This window comes from Homo sapiens, chromosome 7, assembly GCF_000001405.40.
Source record: "Homo sapiens chromosome 7, GRCh38.p14 Primary Assembly".
Classification (NCBI taxonomy): Eukaryota; Metazoa; Chordata; class Mammalia; order Primates; family Hominidae; genus Homo; species Homo sapiens.
In genome coordinates this window covers 37,979,969-38,000,916 of record NC_000007.14, presented here as the reverse complement: position 1 = coordinate 38,000,916, position 20,948 = coordinate 37,979,969, and the positions used below count along the sequence as shown (strand labels likewise).

The following is a 20,948-nucleotide window of genomic DNA, read 5'->3' as shown; positions in this document are numbered from 1 at the left end:
ATGTATTCCCATCATCTCATCTTTCCAAAGACCTTTCTGAAGATTAAACAACTTTCTTTTTTCAACATTTAAAAAACTAGTATGCCATGGAAAAAAACACTCAGGTGCTCAGCTCCCTTAACCCCAGCTACAATGGAGCCTATCATGTCTCTTTGCCAAAGGTAGTTCATTTTAGTACAGTCCATCTCTGCAGAAGTTGCCTCTTTACTGAAGTTTATTGTTGCCATGCTTTTCTCCATCCCCCATCAGCATAGATTGAGGGTCTTATTTTCCACTCTCATATTTACCCTGCTATCTTCCAAGGAAAAATAATACTCTATTAATGTGAGAGAACAAGATCCTCTCATATTCTCCTTCTCCCAAAAACGTCTTGACCTAGATTTTGCCTGATTCATGATATTAGGAATGATAGGCATTTTAAGTAGTTTAGGGTCAAACATCAGTGTCATAACAGCTGGCTTAGCCTTCTTGTACTCTCACAGGGCAATCCAAAAAACAAAAAAATAAAGAAAAAAAACGCAAAGCAAGGCTCCTGTAGGATAGGGAAGCTTCAGAAAGACTTTGTCTAGTTCTGACACTGTTCACAAGGTCCAGAAGCCTGGAAACAGAGTCAAAGTTTAACGGGGTTAAAAGAATGGGCCACTGCCAAAAAACTGTGGTACTTAAGAAATGTGTTTGATAAAGATTTGACCTTCTGTCGGGCATTGTTAAGATTTGAGCTTAAATGGAATTTTGTCAGATATGTTGGTAGAAATCATATAGATAGAAGATTATCATTAAAACAAACAATCAAAAAACAGCATTAGCATGAACTATTGCCTTTTCCAACCACAGTTTTGCTAAAAGCATTGCTCGTTCAGATGGGGAAAGTAAACTACTTGCCCTTTCTAGGTATATATACTGTCATTACCCTGATTGGAGACTCTAGGCTCCTGGGCCAGCCTCAGATCCCGGCCTGAATTTTTGTAATAGTAGAACTTGGTATTTGAAAGGGAGTGGGGGAAAAGGTCATGAGCTGTACACATAGTCTTAAAATTAGTCTTCCTAAGAGCTCATTAATTCCTTGCTCAATCTCCCACTGTCTTCCCATTGAACTCAGGAGAAATTGCATGCTCTTTAAACTGGCTTTCCCTCAAAGCAAACGGATTTTGCTGTCCTTTGAGCAACTCATGCTCCTTTGGAAGTTTGTTCTCTGTTTTTCCTGGTGTTGCCCCAGTCTTGAGAGTCTGGTTTTCCTCTGTCCTTCTCCAAGTCTTATCTATCATATTTATTTGAAAAGCAACATTTTTTTCATTTTTATAGCATTTGCATATACGTATCACAAAAAAAGGCACAGCCTGTCTAAGCTCAGTGACCTATTGCCTGTATATATCTTGGGTCTACAAGAGGATCTTAAATCCTTAGAAGCCATGGTCTCTGGCTTACATTTGTTTTCCTATTGCTAAGGCAAAACAATTGAACTCTTATCTTAGCAAAGTTCAAAAGCAATGCCAGCTTATTTGTGAATGCTATTTTAGTCCATGAATCATAGTTTTCTTTTGCATATGCACATTTATGCTACTGGTATGTTTACATCTTGATCAAAACATATACCCCATATGAAGAGTAAAACAATGACTTTCTTGTTACAACATGGAAAGTTGACACTATGGGTGTCATGGCCAATACCTGTTTTTAAAATGGAAAATTACTATTATAGACAAAGCACATTGGTGAATAGGGCTTTTTATTGTTAACAGATGTTATATATTTATTATTAATTTGCAAGAAAATATTCTATACTCTTTGGGACATTTTAGGTGACAGATAATATGCTGAATACTTTGCTGCCTAACTTGTGCCGGATTTGTATTTTATTACATTACCTTGAGGCTCACTGATTGCACTTAGATCCAGTGTTTTTGTTGTTGTTGTTTCAGGAAAACATTTGTAACAATAAGCTTTTAGTAAAGGTAGGTGCTTTAAATTAACTGCTAACTTTAAAATATGAGACATTTTAGAAACTTCTAAAGACTAAACGGCATTCTTCCCCTCAACCCTAGTCCCAGCAGTAAGCACTATGAACAATTCAGTATAGGAGCTAGAAAACTACAGTCTTTCAACTGTTTTTGTAAATAAATTTTAGTAGAACCCATTTATTTATGCATTGTCTATGTTGGCTTTCACATAACAACAGTGAAATTAAGTAGTTGTGACAGAGACTGTACGGCTCTGCTGTTACAAAGCGTGAAATATACAGTAACTGGCCCTTTGCAGAAAAAAATGTGCAGATTCCTAATTTGCTATGGCATATACACTTCCAGATTTTTCATGTATGCTCAATATATAACTATGCTTTAAAAAAATCTTACTGAAGTGTAACATCCATACTCCAAATTGCACAAATCACAAGTGTATAATGATGAATTTTTACAAAGTGAATATGCCCCAAAAAACAGCACTCAGTTCAAGAAATAGAACATTACCTCTTTTCCTAATCGGGAAAAGAGGAAGTCAAATTGTCTCTGTTTGCAGATGACATGATTGTATATTTAGAAAACCCCATCATCTCAGCCCAAAATCACCTTAAGCTGATAAGCAACTTCAGCAAACTCTCAGGATACAAAATCAATGCGCAAAAATCACAAGCATTCCTATACACCAATAATAGACAAACAGAGAGCCAAATCATAAGTGAACTCCCATTCATAATTACTACAAAGTAATAAAATACCTAGGAATACAACTTACAAGAGACATGAAGGACCTCTTCAAAGAGAACTACAAACCACTGCTCAACAAAATAAAAGAGGACACAAACAAATGGAACATTCCATGCTCATGGATAGGAAGAATCAATATCGTGAAAATGGCCATACTGCCCAAAATAATTTATAGATTCAATGCTATCCCCATCAAGCTACCACTGACTTTCTTCACAGAATTGGAAAAAACTACTTTAAAGTTCATATGGAACCAATAAAGAGCCCACATAGCCAAGACAATCCTAAGCAAAAAGAACAAAGCTGGAGGCATCATGCTACCTGACTTCAAACTATACTACAAGGCTACAGTAACCAAAGCAGCATGGTATTGGTACCAAAACAGATATATAGGCCAATGGAACAGAACAGAGGCCTCAGAAATAACACCACACATCTACAATCATCTGATCTTTGACAAACCTGAGAAAAACAAGAAATGGGGAAAGGATTCCCTATTTAATAAATGGTGCTGGGAAAATCGGCTAGCCATATGTAGAAAGCTGAAACTGGATCCCTTCCTTACACTGTATACAAAAAATATCTCAAGATGGATTAAAGACGTAAATGTAAGACCTAACACCATAAAAACCCTAGAAGAAAACCTAGGCAATACCATTCAGGACGTAGGCATGGGCAAAAACTTCATGACTAAAACACCAAAAGCAATGGCAACAAAAGCCAAAATAGACAAATGGGATAAATAGAGCTTCTTCTGCACAGCAAAAGAAACTATCATCAGAGTGAACAGGCAACCTACAGAATGGGAGAAAATCTTTGCAATCTACCCATCTGACAATGGGTTAATATCTAGAATCTACAAAGAACTTAAACAAATTTACAAGAAAAAAACAAACAATCCCATCAAAAAGTGAGCAAAGAATATGAACAGACACTTTTCAAAAGAAGACATTTATGCATCCAACAGACTTATGAAAAAAATGCTCATCATCACTGGTCATCAGAGAAACGCAAATCAAAACCACAATGGGATACCATCTCACGCCAGTTAGAATGGCAATCATTAAAAAGCCAGGAAACAACAGATGCTGGAGAGAATGTGGAGAAATGGGAATGCTTTTACACTGCTGGTGGAAGTGTAAATTAGTTCAACCATTGTGGAAGACAGTACGGCGATTCCTCAAGTATCTAGAACTAGAAATACCATTTGACCCAGCAATCCCATTACTGGGTATACACCCAAAGGATTATAAATCATGCTACCATAAAGGCACATGCACATGTATGCTTACTGTGGCACTATTCACAATAGCAAAGACTTGGAACCAACCCAAATGTCCATCAATGATAGACTGGATTAAGAAAATATGGCACATATTTTCCATGGAATACTATGCAGCCATAAAAAAGAATGAGTTCATGTCCTTTGCAGGGACATGGATGAAGCTGGAAATCTCATTCTAAGCAAACTATCACAAGGACAGAAAACCAAACACCGCCGTGTTCTCACTCATAGGTAGGAGTTGAACAACGAGAACACATGGACACAGGACAGGGAACATCACACACTGGGGCCTACTGGGGGGTGGGGGGCTTGGGGAGGGATAGCATTAGGAGAAATACCTAATGTAAATGATGAGTTGATGGGTGCAGCAAACCAACATGGCACATATATACCTATGTAACAAACCTGCACTTTGTGCACATGTACCCTAGAATTTAAAGTATAACAATTAAAAAAAAATAATAAAGATAAGTAGAACATTACTAGACCCCCGGAAGTCTCCTTCATTCTCCTTTCCTGCCACGACCATTCCTTGACTTTATTCTGCTTTCTAGCATTGTAGGTTAATTTTATCTGTTTTTGGACTTTATATAAGTGGGATTGTAAATTATATGTTCTATGCCTCTCTTCTTTGGCTCAACATTAGGAGTCATCCATATTATTATGTATGGCAACACTTTGTTCATTCCCATAACCTATAGTATAATATTTTACTAGATAAATATGATACAGTTTACTTACCCATTGTACTTTTGGTGAACATTTGTGGCATTTTAAAATTTGGGTTATTACAAATAATGGAGGAATAAACATTTTTATGTGTCTTTCGGTGAACATATGTGGGCTTTTTGCATGCATTTTTTTAAATGATTAATAAACACCCTGTTCTGCAAGAATGTAGAGCTGCCTGAGTCTGTAACAACTGCATAGTATTTAATTGTATGATGTCCTGGAATATATTTCCCTGTTGGTCATTCAGTCACATGGCAAAAACCACTAGTTGTTGCTAAAATTCATTCTCCCTTTCTTATATGGCAATATACCCTCCACATTTTTAGCTAGGCAGATGGCTGCCTAGAATAAAGGTGCAACCATGTTACTAAGTTCTTAATAACAGGATGTAGGTAGAAGTATGGCATGGCAGACTCCAAGATCCTTCCTAAAGAGATGAATGCCTACACACTTTGCTTTTGTATCTCCCTTCCACAGTGCTGCCTATAAGCACATACTGCCATCCCCTACCTTGAGGTTGAGCTTCATACAGTGACCACAAGACAGAAGGAGCCTGGACCCTGATATAATCATTTGTTATATATACCTTAGACTGCCTATCTGGGCTTTGACAAGAGAGAGAAATGAATATTCATCTTGTTTGAGTTACAGTGGGTTTTCTACCACTCATAACTGAAATAGATTATAACTTACACAAGTTAGTTTCAAATTTTTGCTATTGTACACTCTACAGCAGTGAATATTATGCCATGTATGTTTATATATATGTATGTATATATATATATATGTATGTGTGTATATATATGTATGTGTATATATATATATATTTATATATATATATTTTTTTTTTGAGACAGAGTTTCGCGCTTATTGCCCAGGCTGGAGTGCAATGGCATGATCTCAGCTCACCGCAACCTCTGCCTCCTGAGTTTGAGCAATTCTGTCTCAGCCTCCCGAGTAGCTGGAATTACAGGCATCCACCACCACGCCTGGCTAATTTTTTGTATTTTTAGTAGAGACAGGGTTTCTCCGTGTTGGTCAGGCTGATCTCGAACTCCCGACCTCAGGTGATCTGCCCGCCTCAGCCTCCCAAAGTGCTGGGATTACAGGCGTGCGCCACCACACCTGGCGTATCTTTGTATTTTTATATGTCTATTTTGTAGAAAAAAAATTCTACAGGTGGAATTGCTAGGTCAAAAACTAAGAGCACTTTAAACTATAGATACAGTACAATGTTCCCCCAAAATTACATTACCACAGACATAAGTGACATTTCTGTCTGAAATACACTGGGTGTCAAATTGCTAAACCTCTTATATGTGAAAGAGAAACAACCATAACAAAACAAAGAAGCAGTGATCAAACCCTAATTTCCTGTTTCACGTCTTTGTTGTTGGAAGAAAATTTAGAAGATTTTCATTTGAGGGGCCTATTTTTCTTTCCTTTTTTTGTGACTTGTCTGTTCAAATGCTTTGTCTAATTTTCCATTGTAGACTTTTTTTTTTTTTTTTTTGAGACAGAATCTCACTCTGTTGCCAAGGCTGGAGTGCAGTGGTGTGATCTGTGCTCACTGCAAGCTCCGCCTCCTGGGTTCACAGCATTCTCCTGTCTCAGCCTCCCGAGTAGCTGGGACTACAGGCGCCTGCCACCATGCCCTGCTAATTTTTTTGTAGTTTTAGTGGAGACAGGGTATCACCATGTTAGCCAGGATGGTCTTGATCTCCTGACCTCGTGATCTGGCTTCCAAAGTGCTGGGATTACAGGCGTGAGCCACCATGCCCTGCCCATTGTAGACAGTCTTTATAATTATTTTAACGAATATTTATAATATAGTTTGTCCTTTAATTTTGTTTTGATTAGCTTTATTTTTTATATATAATAGAGCAAACCTTTCCACATTCTTATCAAATATAAGGTATTCATACACATTTTTCTTCCAGAAGAAATTTGGAGTCAAGCACTCAACTTCCAAAAAAACTTAATAATTTGATTAAAATTTTATTAAACATAATTAATTTGGAGAAGGCTGAGATAATCAACATATAAATAATACTGAATATTCTCATCTAGTCAGATGATGTCTCTCCATTAGCTAGGTCTTACAGTCTAAGTAACATTCTGTAAATTTATCCACATAGGGAAAACTTACTTTTTCTAAGTGTATATTAAGATATTTTAGAGTTTTCAGTGTAAATAGAAACTCTCTGCTTTTACAAATTCAATTTGATTAAGTCTGATTCATGAGAATTCTTTTGAGTTTATTTTGTTTTCTATCTGTCCTCTTAACTCATTTTTATTAATTTTTTATTTCATTTTCTGAAAATTATATCAGTGGCTGTGTAACTTATGTTTAATTTTAATATGTATATCTTATTTTTCTTGTCATATTGCACTGGAAATAAAACCAGAACAGTACTGAATACTGTCAGTGAAAGTAGTCAGGCTTTTTCTCTTACTAACAGAAATTCCTTTAGTAATTCATCATTAAGATGTTTAATGCAGAATTCTTTAGAAAATCAAATCAAGATATTATGATAAAGTTTTAAAATGTCTTACTTTAATACATTTTTTTAGTTTAGGGTGTAACCATCCAAAACTAAGTTATCCTTCTTCTCAGTTAGGCATCATAGCGTTAGTCCAGTTACCCAGAAGTCTTAGCTTTGCTTCTTCTTCCCCTACAACCCACTATTAGAATGTCAGCAAGTCCTCTCATGATTTTCTTTTCTCCATTCTTACCGTCCTAGTTAAGGCTTTTATGTCTTGACCATGCAGACCACAAAGACCACTAAAAATGAGACAGATAATAGATATGGGCTCCCATTTCTGGTTTCTGGTACCAAAGTCTAATTCAGCATAATTCAGCTCAGCATAATGCTATCAATTGGTAGTGTGTTTAGGCCCTATTGAAAGAGCCTAACTCAAGTCTTGAGACAGAAACTGAAAAGGATTATGCTGGAAAATACTGTAGAATTCAGTAGTCTAGAAAGCTGTATTACAGAAAGCAACGTGAGCTGGAATTGTTTCACAGTCATAAAGAAAATGTTTTGGCCACTCTGAGGGATGTTTCAGGAACTAGTTTCAGTCTTACTCTAGCTATATAACCCTTTCAGGTCAGCAAAAAGGTCAAAAAACAGCCAGAGTTCAGAATGAACATGCATTTGAGATTTTTGAGAAGAGGAATTCACATCTAAAGTCTAGAAGAACAGATCTTAGACATTCTGGCCATAATTCGTTTGTTATTGATACCATATGATTGCAATGACATTCTATGGTGTAGGGGCAATACTTGCTGCCAAGACACAAAACCTTGTATGAAGTTTTCTGGTTTTGGCCCCTCATGTAACAAAGATGTAATTTTGGTTATTTTCATTTTTCTATTCCTCCAAGTGCCTTGCCATTTCTTCCTCTAATCTCCAGCTATTTCATGCAAAAATGATCAAGACAACTTTTTTTTAAAGATTTTTTGAGAGTCTCTTCTTTTAGATTACAAGAAGACAAGAAGTAGCAATTTAGCCTCTAATTTATCTCATAGGTGAAATTTTACTTCTTTCTTTTTTCTAAGAAGTACCGTCAGAATATAATCTTAAAATTTAATGGTTGTGAAACTTGACTATAGAATTTGCTTTCTGCTGATGCTATGGGGGCTCCCTTCTAACCCAGACCAATTTACTCTGAAAATGGCAAATGCTTTCCCCTCTCCCCAAGAAGATGGAAAAATAAGTTACATTCACTTGCTAAAGATAAATTAATTAATTAAAATTGCCTAGTGGCAATAATGTGTTGAATTCAAATAGTTGAAACAAGCAATTGCTGGAGCACGTACTTATGTCAGCCAATGGCTTATTCCTTGATGTCAATGTTTTGGCTTTATTTGGTGAACTGGTGGTTGAGTTGATCCTTACTTGCTATTCAGACTACCTCTGATCCTTCTGAAGACCAGAACCATCTGGATGGCTCATTTGACTTTGCTCAGAAAGGTCCTTAATCTCTAAGTACATCAGTTCAAGCACAGACTCAGACTGAGATGGAGAAATGAAAGATGGCCCACTTTGGGAGGCAGAAATGGGTAGACTGCTTGAGCCCAGGAGTTTGAGACCAGCCTGGGCGAAATGGAGAAACACCATCTCTATGAAAAACTGCAAAAAATTAGCCAGGCTTCATGGTGCACACCCATAGTCCCAGCTATTAGGCTGAGGTGGGAAGATCACCTGAGCCTGGAAGGTCGAGTCTTCAGTGAGCCGTGATTATGCCACTGCACTCCAGCCTGGGTGACAGAATGAGACCCTGTCTCAAAAAAAAAAAAAAAAGACTAGCAAAACAAAAAAAAGAATTCAAATATGCCACTCTCCCAGGATTAACCATTTGGCTACAAAGAGTAAAGAGACTTCTACATCTTGGCATTACTTGGTGAGGGTAGGAAATTATCACATCACATTCTGTTACAGTTTGGGAACTACTTCTAAAGAAATTTCTAATGCAACACGTTCACAAGTAAAGGTAATGTGATACCAGTGCTATCATTATATGGATTTGATAAGGGGAACAATTAATGCATTACAGCCTCTTCTCACTAGCATCTAAGGATGTGAAACACATGCAAAATTGCAGACACTTCCCTCTCCCATCCACATGGAATCAATCATTCACTATGTTCTTATTGACTTCACAAATTATCCATATCCATTGTGGTTATGTTAGAAAGTATAGATAAGGAAAGATAATTTACTGATCTCATAGCTCATATGATTTCAAGTATATTACAGGTTCAAGTGTTCTTGTTCCAGCTGCAATTGTTGCATAACAACTACCTCGATCTCAGTGGCATACAATTGTATTAAAAATAACAACATTTGGGCCAGGTGTGGTGGCTCACACCTGTAATCCTAGCACTTTGGGAGGCCAAGGCAGGTGGATTGCCTGAGGTCATTCGAGACCAGCCTGGGCAACATGGCAAAACCCCATCTCTACTAAAAATACAAAAAATTAGCAGGGTGTGGTGATGCACACCTGTAGTCCCAGCTACTTGGGAAGCTGAGGCACAAGAATCACTTGAACCTGGGAGGTGGAGGTTGCAGTGAGTCGAGATCATGTCACTGCACTCCAGCCTGGGTTACAGAGCAACTCTTTCTCAAAAAAAAAAAAAAAAACAAGAAAGAAAGAAAGAAAGAAAGAGAGAGAGAGAGAAGAACGAAAGAAAAAGAAAGCAGGAAAGAAAGGAAGAAAGAAAGGAAAGAAAGAAAGAAAAAGGAAAAGAAAGAAAGAAATGAAGGAAGGAAGGAGAAAGAAAAGAAAGAAAGAAAGAAAGAAAGAAAGAAAGAAAGAAAGAAAGAAAGAAAGAAAGAAAGGGAAACAACAACATTTGTATTCACAGATTCACAGATTTTATGGGTCAGGAATTTAGTCTGGATGCAGGGCAGATGCTTATATGTCTGCTATGCCACATCGGGGGCATTTGCTTGGCAGACTCAAAGATTAGGGGTGACAAGAGCTGGGAGCAGGAATCATCTGCTTGCATTTTCACTCGCACCTCTGGTAGTTGATGCTGATTATTGGCTGGGACCTCAGATGGACTACTGGCCAAATTGGCTCTGCACAGCCTCTGCACATGGGTTTTTCTGTCCTTCCTCATAGCATGTCTAGCAGCTGGGTTTTAGGAACAAATGTCCTAAGTAGGCAAGGCCAAAGTGCAAGGTGTTCTTATCATCTAGCCTTGGAAGGCACATGGCATTACGTGATTATACTCCATTGGTCAAGATAGTTACAAAATTCTGCCAGCTTGACACTATAGGTTTTTCTTTGGGGGCTCAGAATAAAAAGACAAAAAAAAGCCTCTGACCGTTTATCTCTTATTCTTTTGAGGTAGTTTTGTGTTATATAAAAGAAAAATTTAGGGATATTGTCCTATTTCCCAGTGACTGAAGGAGACTGTGAATAAGAGACGTTGACATCTCTCTATAGCAGTGCCAAAGAGAGAGGTATCCTTGTCTAAATAAGCAAGGCAGGATTACTCTTTCCAGACTCTGATTTGAAAGACAGCAGATAGAACGTCAGGTGGAAGTACCTCTGTCGGTGTCGCCTACAAAGCAACATGTTTGAAAACTCTGTGTGTTTCAACTTAGGAGCTCAGCAGTCAGTCTCCCAGATGTGGAGCTATTTGGAGAGCAAGCTTGTGAAGAAGGCCCAGGAAACACAAAGACAGCTCTTAGGATACACTTTACTGAAGATATCACTCAGACAAGATGCCCAGGAAGTTCAGGATTTAAAAAGGTCTAGAGTCTTCTAACTCACTTCCTGTGGAAGTTTATTGTGAACAATAGTAACAAAGCAGCCTCAATTCTCTAATCCTGCAGAGGGTTAAAGAACACCTATTATCCCCTGGAGCTTAATAGAGATGAAATATTAGGATATAAGTATAAGTGCTTAGGAGGACCAGGAAGATGGTTATAAACACGTTATACCCAGGTTTAGGTGAAAACTACATGTAAACTATTGTGAGGTCCTTGATTGGTTAGATGACTAAGATATTAGTTATCTTGGAAGAAAATCTGGATTGATAAATGTGAGTTGAATTAGATGCACTAAACATAAAAATAGAAGACAGAAAATTGTCCTAGTAATAATCAGCCCATCCTTGCTTAGCACAGCTCCAGTATTCCAAAGATTTCAGTTGCCACAGTTCAGTTCAATGACATCAGTCCCCCAACAACCACAGTTCTGATTTCAGTTGCTATAGTATATTAACTGTGAGTAATTGCATAAAGGAGAAACTTCACTTCTAGATCTTCAACCCACAAATCACTACATGCCTACCAGATGTGCATATGATCAGTGACCAATCATGCCACTTCTTTCAATGTCTATTGGTGATTGGTCTCTGCACATTTTTTATTCAATCCTTACACTGGCAGCAAAGCATGTAGTTGTGTTTCTTCCTTTTCTTCTAGTGATAAAACTGCATAACATTTTCAAAAATGGCTAATCAAAAGAGAAAATTGGCCAACAGATGAAGTGTCACAAAGATCAAAGTACAGCAAAGAAACAAAAATAGAGAACTCTATATGATGGTTAATTTTATGCGTCAACTTGGATGAGATAAGCAACGCCCAGGCAGCTGGTAAAATATTATTTCCGGTGTGTCTGTGAGGGTGTCTGCAGAAGACATTAGCATGTAAATCAGTAAACTGAGTAAAGATCAAATCACCCACACCGATGTGGTCAGGCATCATCTAATAGAACAAGAAGGTGGAGGAAGGGCAAATTTACTCTCTGTTTGAGCTGGGATATTCGTCTTCTCTTGCACCTGGACATTGGGACTGTGGTTCTCAGGCCTTTGGACTTGGACTTTTGGCTGAATTACTCCACTGGCTTTCTTGGTTCTCCAGGTTGTAGACGGTGAAACTTTGCAGCCTCTGTAATTGTGTAAGCCAATTTCCATAATAAAATAAATATTCATATATATACACGTATACATCTTCATGTATATTATAAATCTTCACATATATAAGATAAAATAAATCTGTGCATGTGCGTGCTTGTGTCTCTGTGTGTGTATGTGTGTGTGTGTGTGTGTGTGTGTGTGTATTATTTCTCTGGAGAACCCTAATACACTCTGAAAGTGAAATTCAAGTTGAGTATTAATGGAGTTATGGAAGAAATAGCTATCGGAGGGAATATTGCCACTGTTTGAGACATTCCAGAGGAACTTAGGGAAGGCAAACTTAACAACATAAATGAAGAAAATGGATGTGTTCATCCATTTTAGGATAAAGGTATCCTGGAAAAGTTACACTGGCAAAAAAAAACTCACATTAAAGGAACTCTCAGAGGCATTTCATGACATTGAAAAAACAAAGAATAGATAGTTGGAAGCTGATTCAAACTTAGAAAGGAGTATGACAGTTTTTCAGGGCATAGTAAAGATGCTCACTCCATACACTAAGTCCTACAATGAGAAGAGGAGGGCAACCTCATTCAAACTATACTCCATATTTACAAATAAATAAAATACTTTATTTCTTCATATTTCTGATGTTTTAAATTACAGTATACTAAATAATTATTAGTTGTACTATTTTTAAAAAATTTCCTGTGCATTTATAACCTACAACAAAGGAGTTTTTAATGTTTCAACAAAATATTTTTAAAGGTCCCAGAACAATTGTAAGTTTCCCCTTCGATGAACAAGATCACATTCCAGTTTCTGTTTGCACAGTCATATCTGTGGTTCCTCATTAGTGTGAAAAGCCAGAACTGCCTGTTCTAGGGAGTGGCAGTGGGAAGGGAAATGAAATGGTATATATGGAGTGAAGCAAAACTGTAAGGGCCATGACTGAGTGGCTGTAAAGAACAAAGTCAGATGTGGTGACAGTATGCCTAGCAGAGAGAAAAAAATAAGTGCACTGTTATTAGAAGAAGAAAACTGGGAAGAGACCTTTGTGTGAAGACAAACTCCAGGAGAAATATAGTTGAGAAAAAGAGAGTTGTGAGCTTTGGGAACTATAATTACTTAAGACAAAATCAGATGTGTGAAATATGGGATGCAGTGGTGCACCAACATTTGACAATTTGTGATACGATTGGAGGACAAGAACACAGGCCATTGTGGGTATAGCTAAAAGGAATACTTCTCATTCTCATGCCATCTCCTGTGCCAGTTACCATGAATTTAGTGGGGCAAATTGATTTTTTGAAACCTACCTTTAAAAAGATTTTTAAAAAAAGCTCTGAATCTTTTAAATTTTGCTGGTTTAGACATGATTTTTTAAAGGTAGGGTTGTCCTCATTGAGGATTTGCCTCTTTGATGACAAATGTCTTCTTAAGGAGATGTTAGTTCAGTGATGTTGTTTCAGCATTCAGGCCAACAAAGGCAGTTGAAGAGGAATGCATGCCGGGTGTCCTAGAGTTCAGCAAAAAAGGACTTGCTCTAGGGGAGGAATTATGAACAAGAGGCTCCAGCTGAGCTAGAAGATGGTGCCCAGCAGGAGGGAAGTGGAACAGACAGATTCCTGCTCTTTTAGAGCTTCAACGATGAAGTCTATTGTTCTGTGGTTTGAGGAACACTCATCATTCACCATAGCTGGTTGACATCATTTACTAAGTTGAATCAAGTACAAAAGGAAAAAGTTCTTTATGATAGGCCAGATTCCATGAGTGGGAATTCCTTGGAGTGAAACAGGGAGAAAATACGCCCCAGTGTTAAAGACTTTCCAGAGATTTTTTCCATTCCACTTTCCACCCCTCCCTAAATCACTCGCCAAAGAAATGCTTTGCTGGACACTAAAGTGGCCACAGCTGTGCTCATAAGAAAACATCAGAATATAAAATTAATCGTTGTATTTTTTAGTTAACCTTTTTGGAGTGTGTGTGCAGGGTTAAAGGACAGGTGCTATTAAGATGATAGACATCTTTGAAATGTTTGGAAGTACTGCCAGTTTCTATGACCAAAAGCTTTCCAAACAGCTGTAATTATTTGAAGGTCAATGAACTAAAAGTTTCCCTGTATTAGCTTTAGGCAAAAAGGTCATTAATGCTTTAGGGGACTGTAATAAATCTGAAAGAAGCTGGCTTGACCCTCCCCTTCTGCAGTTCTCTATCTGATCACCCTGAGATCCTTTTCAACTCCAGCTTCCTGGGAGGCCAGAGATGAGCCAGTGACTGACTCCTTGACCAGCCACACAGGGCCTAGAGTTGTACCCTACCTGGATTGGCGAGGTCTTCCATGACTTATGTAGCCTCATCCTCAGATGAGGACCACCACCCAATCCCCTCAAAAAGCCTGAAATCAGTCTTCTATGCTAGGTGTGAAAAAAAGAGAGGTAATTACACTGTTTTATTCCATCAGTGTTTGAAAAAAGTGCACAACTTCTATGCAGGCATCCCAAAGCATCTAGGATTGCAGGGATGGATAGAAAGTCCTTCAATCACAACAGAATTCCTATTTGGCTCTTTAAAAAAGGAGACAGGACAGGCTGACAGATGCTACGGTGCTTAGACCCACATGTTGTCCACAAAATTGGGATTATCCTCTAATTCTAAAGGTATAGCTTTGGTGACCGTTTTGCCATTGGTGCCATCTCTCAGGAACCTGATAATAAACTACAATGTTTTAAACTTGTACTATATCCAGGAGCTATGTAGATATATAAAATATTTTCTTATTTAAATTCCACATGTGTACAATGTAGGTATTATTTTCATTGCACCAATATGATAGATGAGACAATAATTTTCTCAAAGACACTCAATTAAGTTGGCTGACTGCAAAGAGTTTTAGGCAATAAGATTTACATTCTTTACCTTTAGCTTATCATCTTCCAAAGATGATGCTTTAATCATTGTCAGCTGGTTATTGATCATATTGTTCTTTGAGCCCATCCCCATGGGATTTGAAAAATCTGCTTCTAAGCATATCTGGAACTTTTTTACATTTTCCTTTTTTTTTTTTTAAGATGGAAGTCTCCACTATGCTGCCCAGGCTGGAGTGCCATGGTTATTCACAGGAGTGATCGTAGAGCATTATAGCTTCAAACTCCTGGCCTCAAGAGATCCTCCTGCCTCAGCATCCTGAGTACAGCGTACAGGCATGTGCTACCATGCCCAGCCATATCCTGAGGTTTTCACTTACAATAACTGAAGCTCTTACCTTGCCACCTCAGGCCATCTACTAAAAAGGCATAGATATTATTTCAGGGAAAGAAATGCCTGGCTGCAAATATTTTCCTTCAACTGACTTGATAGTTCTGTTAGTGTCTTCCAAGCATAGTTTTCAATTCAGGGCTCATGCAATACTCTTTATCTATTGTGTCTTTGTTTTCAATAGTAATAATATATGAACTTAGAATAAATATGCTCTTCTTTTAAGAATTTACAATTGTGTGTGAATACAAAGACTGCAAAATATATTAAAGAGATTTATTATGTAAGAGATTCATTATGAAAGAGTTTAAAGATGAAAGAAATTCATCAAAGCGTTTGTATATTTCAAGAAGAAAGTATGACATCATCCAAATACATACATATTGCTAGGTTAAATATTATTTCCACCACAAGATAAAAATCTATCCTCCTCTGTGCTAGTGTAAAACTCAGGAGTTGGCTTCTTCAGCTGCCCTTGGCTCTGAAATCTTCAACTGGCCACCCTTAGGGTTCCAAACACACACCCAACCTCACGCCCCACGCAGAGTTACTTTGCGTCCACACAGCTGAGCTCCATGTGGTGTTTTAACGGTCATAGGATCTAATTCCCACATCCTCTTCTGAGAGCTGAGATTTATGATCCCAATAAAGATTTTGACAGAAAGATGAGAAGAACTTAGTTTAAAATGTTGCCCTGAAATTCCCTACTCATCACCCCATTAATCACAGATTAAAATAAAAGCACATATGAGCTAATATCACAGGGTCTAACAGGGTGAATATGTTTTGGAATTAGCAACAATCCCTTAATAACAATGTATTATCTCTGAAATTCCCTTTCAGAACAGTGACCTTGGTTTGAAATTTAAAAAAATATATCAGGCAAATCTGTTAAGACATAATAAATAGGGAGTGGCTAAGACACTCTGAAAACAGATATCAAGGACCTTACCTTCTTATGTTTACGTTTAATCATTTAACAAGGAAGCAAACTTTACATGATTAGTGAGGTTCTGGTGTAAGAGATGTTTTCATATTCCCTGATGAAACCTCACAAGGCTTCCCACTAAAACACAGCAGGGATGAGAGTGCACCTCACCACTTCACAGCCCAGAATGGTAGCTTACCTCGTTTCAGAATTTGGGAACAGTTTCCACCATCTGTCCTACCAAACTCTCAAACTCAACCAAGAAACACAATTGGTGGCTCAGACCTAGAAATGGAGTAAATCTGTTGGCCTGAATAAAAGGTCAAAAATATTCTGTACATTTCTGCAGAAATCTCCTCTTCATCTATTGCAGGCCTTGCTTTTCCAGGCAAACAGAATAAGGTTTCCTGTGTCCTTCTGATCCCCACTCACCTCTCCAAAATCCTAAGTCCGTTTCTCATATATAATATGTCCTATTTTTTACATCTCTGTAACAGTTTTAAAAAGATAATTGTGGAAGTAATATATGCTTATTTGGAAACATCTGGAAAACTAGAAAACTACAAAAAGGAAATCATCACCAGAGACACCCGATGTTCATATTTCAGCCACTTCACTATTAAGCTGTTTAGCAGCGCTTGCCCTTCCCGTCAGTCCTGGTCTCCTTGTTTGCCCTTCCTCCTAGATGACTATTTCACATTCTTCTCTTCTTCAAATCTCAACATTTCCTCTCTGCTTCTCACTCTCAGCTGAAGGCTTCTGTTTTTATATAGAAGGAATCAGAATGGATCATTCTACAAAACGCAGCAGGTCTCCATCCACTTGGGTTTCCCCGTCTCCTAGGGCCAACCCCCTACTTTGCACTAGAACCTGTTCCCCGCTCCTACTCAAAGGCTTTGCTCCTGGAATTATTTCCATTCCCACCTCATCATTTTTTTTTCTTAATGGGTCATTGCCAAGAAAAATGATGTACCATAACATCTTGAATTGCAACTTTTAAAGACTTCCCATTTTTCTGATTCCCCAACATCTCCAGAGAAACAGGCTTGTGGGCACTTTTCCCAGATGACCAGGTGCACCAATGTGACAAGGCTGGTCTTGCCACAAGTCCCCCTTCTTGCTCTTCCCTGACTGTGGCCTAGTGACATTCAAGCATACCCATAATATTCCCTCCTGCGTTTGCTGGCAAACCCCATCCTGATGCCCAATAAGGGTGCTTGTCCACAGGTCCCTACTTTCTCTTGGCTCCTCCACTGCTTGGTTGAGCCTGCTCCCTTGGTGCTCCCTCCAGGTGACTCCTGCAAGGTATGTTGTGCCTCCCTTTGTAGAACCTGTAAATACAGTAAATCCTTTAATTCATATGGCTCCCCAGTGTAATCTCCACAGCCGTACTGGACTGTTGCTTAAAGATTCCACAAAAGGTGCTTACTCCCCCATTTATAACACTTATCTCCATCTTAAAAAAACCCTCTCTTGACCCTGTATCTTTCTCAGCTCCTACCCAATTTTAAGCTTCTCATTTCCAAGAAAAGTGCTTGCAAGAGTTATTCACATTCAACATTTGTTCTTTTCTTTTCTCTTCAACTTACTGCACCATGGGCAACAAGTATACGCAAGTTGCTAAATCCAATGATCAGTGTTCAGTCCTGAGGTAATATGACCTTGCATCATCTTTTTGAGACTGTGGGTCATGCTGTCCATCATCACACAATTTGTTCCCTTGACTTTTATGACACCTCCTCACACTTGCTTGGTTTTCAGGTTACTTCACTGGCTCTTTCCTTTCGTAAGGTTGGATCCTTATGTTTCCAACCAGAACCTGCTACATAATTTGCAAGGTACAGTGCAGAATGAAAATGCAGCGCCCTTGTTAAAAAATTATTAACAGTTTCAAGAGAGTGAGAGCAGAGCATTCAATCAAGCACCGGTTCCTCCTAAGCAAGAGGTTTTGTGCGACTGCCAAGATCATGTGGCCATGAAGCAGGCCCTGTTCCCATCCTCAGAATGCAGCAGAGCACTTGCTCAGTGCTCATCTACAAATGATCTCATCCACACCAGTTGGCTTTAGATGCCACACTCAGCAACAAGCCACACATCTTAACTTCAACACTAATCTCTCCATTTAACTCCAGATTCAAATTTCAACTGTCTATTCTCTATGTGTACTTGAATATATAGAATGCACTCAAACTTAATATGTCCAAAATGGAACTTTCATTTCCCACCCAAATCCTTCCCACAGTTCTCCCTATTTCAGTAAATACCAGCTCAATTTTTCCAGTTATTCAGGCCAAAATCATTATAGCCATCCTGAAATATTCTCTCACATCCCGCATTCCATCCAACAGATCCTGCAATCTCTACCTTCAAAATATTTCCCAAATCTGACTAGTTAAGATATTCAACCACTTGCACCCTGGTACAAGTTTCTGTCCTGAGTCACATGCTATCATGTGATTTAAATGTTCGAAAAAAAAAGATAAGGGTGATTAGTGATGACTAGAACTATTGCAAAAATCATTTTGCAATAAAGGCAATAAAGAAGGGTCAGAAATTCAGAGCAATGTCATAAAGAAATGAACTGATCTAAAAGGCAGACCCATCACAGGGAGGAAATTTCAAAGGAAGAAGACTGGGCCTACCACCCTGTTACCTTGGAAATAAGTAAGACCAAAGGGTGGGAAGGGAAAAGACTTGATTCTTTTCAGAGAACAAAAAAGTCTGTCTTCATTATGCAAATACATGCAATGCACAGTAGTTTGAGGAACACTAATGGAATGTTTTTATTGCTTTTCTTTGTAAATTACAAATTGCTCATTCCTGAAGATGAAATTAAAATGAGCCATTGAGTAAATTACTTCCAAAACAAGTTAGTGGAAAATGTGTAAACCTGTGAGTGAGTAATATTAAATCCTTATATGTTTCATAGGAACTTAAACTCTAGGCACACACAATGTTTTATACCTACAATGACTGTACTTTTTTTAACTTATTACATAAAATTACATATATTATAGTCCAAGCACAGTGGCTCACACTTGTAATCCCAGCACTTTAGGAGGTCAAGGCAGGAGAATGGCTTAAGGCTAGGAGTTTGAGATCAGCCTGGACAATACAGCAAGACCCCGCCTCTGCAAAAAAATAAATAAATAAATTAGCCAGGAGTGGTGGCACACACCTGTCATCCTAGCTACTTGGGAGGCTGAGGTGGGAAGATCACTTGAGCCCAGGACTTCAAGGTTACAGTGAGCCATGATGGTGCCCTTGCACTCCAGCCTGGGTGACAGAGCAAGATCTTGTCTCTTAAAAAAAAATGTGTTATTGAAAGTTTAGAACATAGCTATAAACATAAGAAGAAAATATAAATCAAAACAAAACAGCCAATGTAAGCGTTTTGGTTTATAATATTCCAGATTTTTTCTACTAAGTAAATATATGATTATAAAAAATTGTAGTTATTACTACTTAATAGCCTGTTTTGTTGATGAAATAATTTTTCATGAATATTTATCAATGTAATTATGTTATTGTCTCTTGTAAGCTATTAGCATAATTATATAAATAACACATTATTAGAAATTAAACCATTTTACAGTTTAAAAGTTAAAGAAAAAAATAAAATTCAAAGAGGTCATGGCATATTAGTATTTTAATTTGAGGCTGGATTGATTTGCTAATATTTTCCTTATAATTATAGGTTTGTTATTGTGGGATATTTGTCAGGTATTGATTTCAGGACTATGCTAATTTATAAAATAAACTAGGATATTATACATAAATTAGAATTGTTTTCTATGCTTTAAAACAATGTTTTTCAAATTATCTGTGGTGAAATCCTTTATTTCAATTTCCTATCCATCATGCACTGCTATTTTGGTTAAAACAAAGCAAAAAGAAATTACTAGAAAAATAAAACAAGAAGCCAAAAACAATCGAAATAAAAGCTTAATTTCTTTATGAATAGATTCAATAGGCATCAGGTTACTCTACCAAATTGCTGTAAAAGTTTCTAAATGCTGACTATTATTGCCATATTTATCTTGACCACGTAACAAATAGTTGATGACCACCAGCAGTCCATGGACCACATTTTGAATAGCCCTACCTGTAAGAAGAGGCTTATTCTTTTTAATAATTCACATTTATCAGCAAATTTGCTGTTAAAATGTTACCATATTATATGCATTTTGATTTATTTACAAATCATATCTCTAATTAAAATTATTTTAATAATATTCTGGATGCTTAGATTTTAAGTACTCAGCATCCTGAAGACCTCATCCTTTTATAAACTAATTCACAGGTACAATATACAATTAAAATAAGGTTTGCTCTTGCCGATACTGTGTATGGATCTCTATTTTCCAGTAACATTCCTGATCATTTAAAATTATTCAGCCAATGTTTTTAATATCTGATGAGGTCATAGTTGTGTCTGACTCATAATGTGACTGATGAAATCTTTTCTTTGAACAATCAATAGTAAAAGCATCATTTAATAGTGCTCTCTCTTCAATCTGTGGCTTCTCTTCAGGAATATAATCATGCCATTTGTCCATTTTGGGAGGATTCCTTTAATGACAACTATATGGTAGAACCCACATAGTTGCAAATTGCAGTGCAGTGTATAAGAGCAAACACACTGTTGAGGGGACCAGGTGGCAC

At 37.6% G+C, this 20,948-nt stretch overlaps 2 annotated features.

Annotated features, from left to right (window-relative positions):
• Window positions 12,863-13,063: a silencer, noted in NCBI's record as "peak6491 fragment used in MPRA reporter construct". NCBI's record gives its function as "represses an SCP1 promoter by STARR-seq MPRAs in K562 erythroleukemia cells {active_cell/tissue: K562}" and the evidence as "EXISTENCE:reporter gene assay evidence [ECO:0000049][PMID:32103011]".
• Window positions 13,279-14,031: an enhancer, noted in NCBI's record as "OCT4-NANOG hESC enhancer chr7:38026488-38027240 (GRCh37/hg19 assembly coordinates)". NCBI's record gives its function as "activates a minimal SCP1, AML or CMV promoter by ChIP-STARR-seq in naive H9 embryonic stem cells {active_cell/tissue: H9 hESC(naive)}" and the evidence as "EXISTENCE:reporter gene assay evidence [ECO:0000049][PMID:30033119]".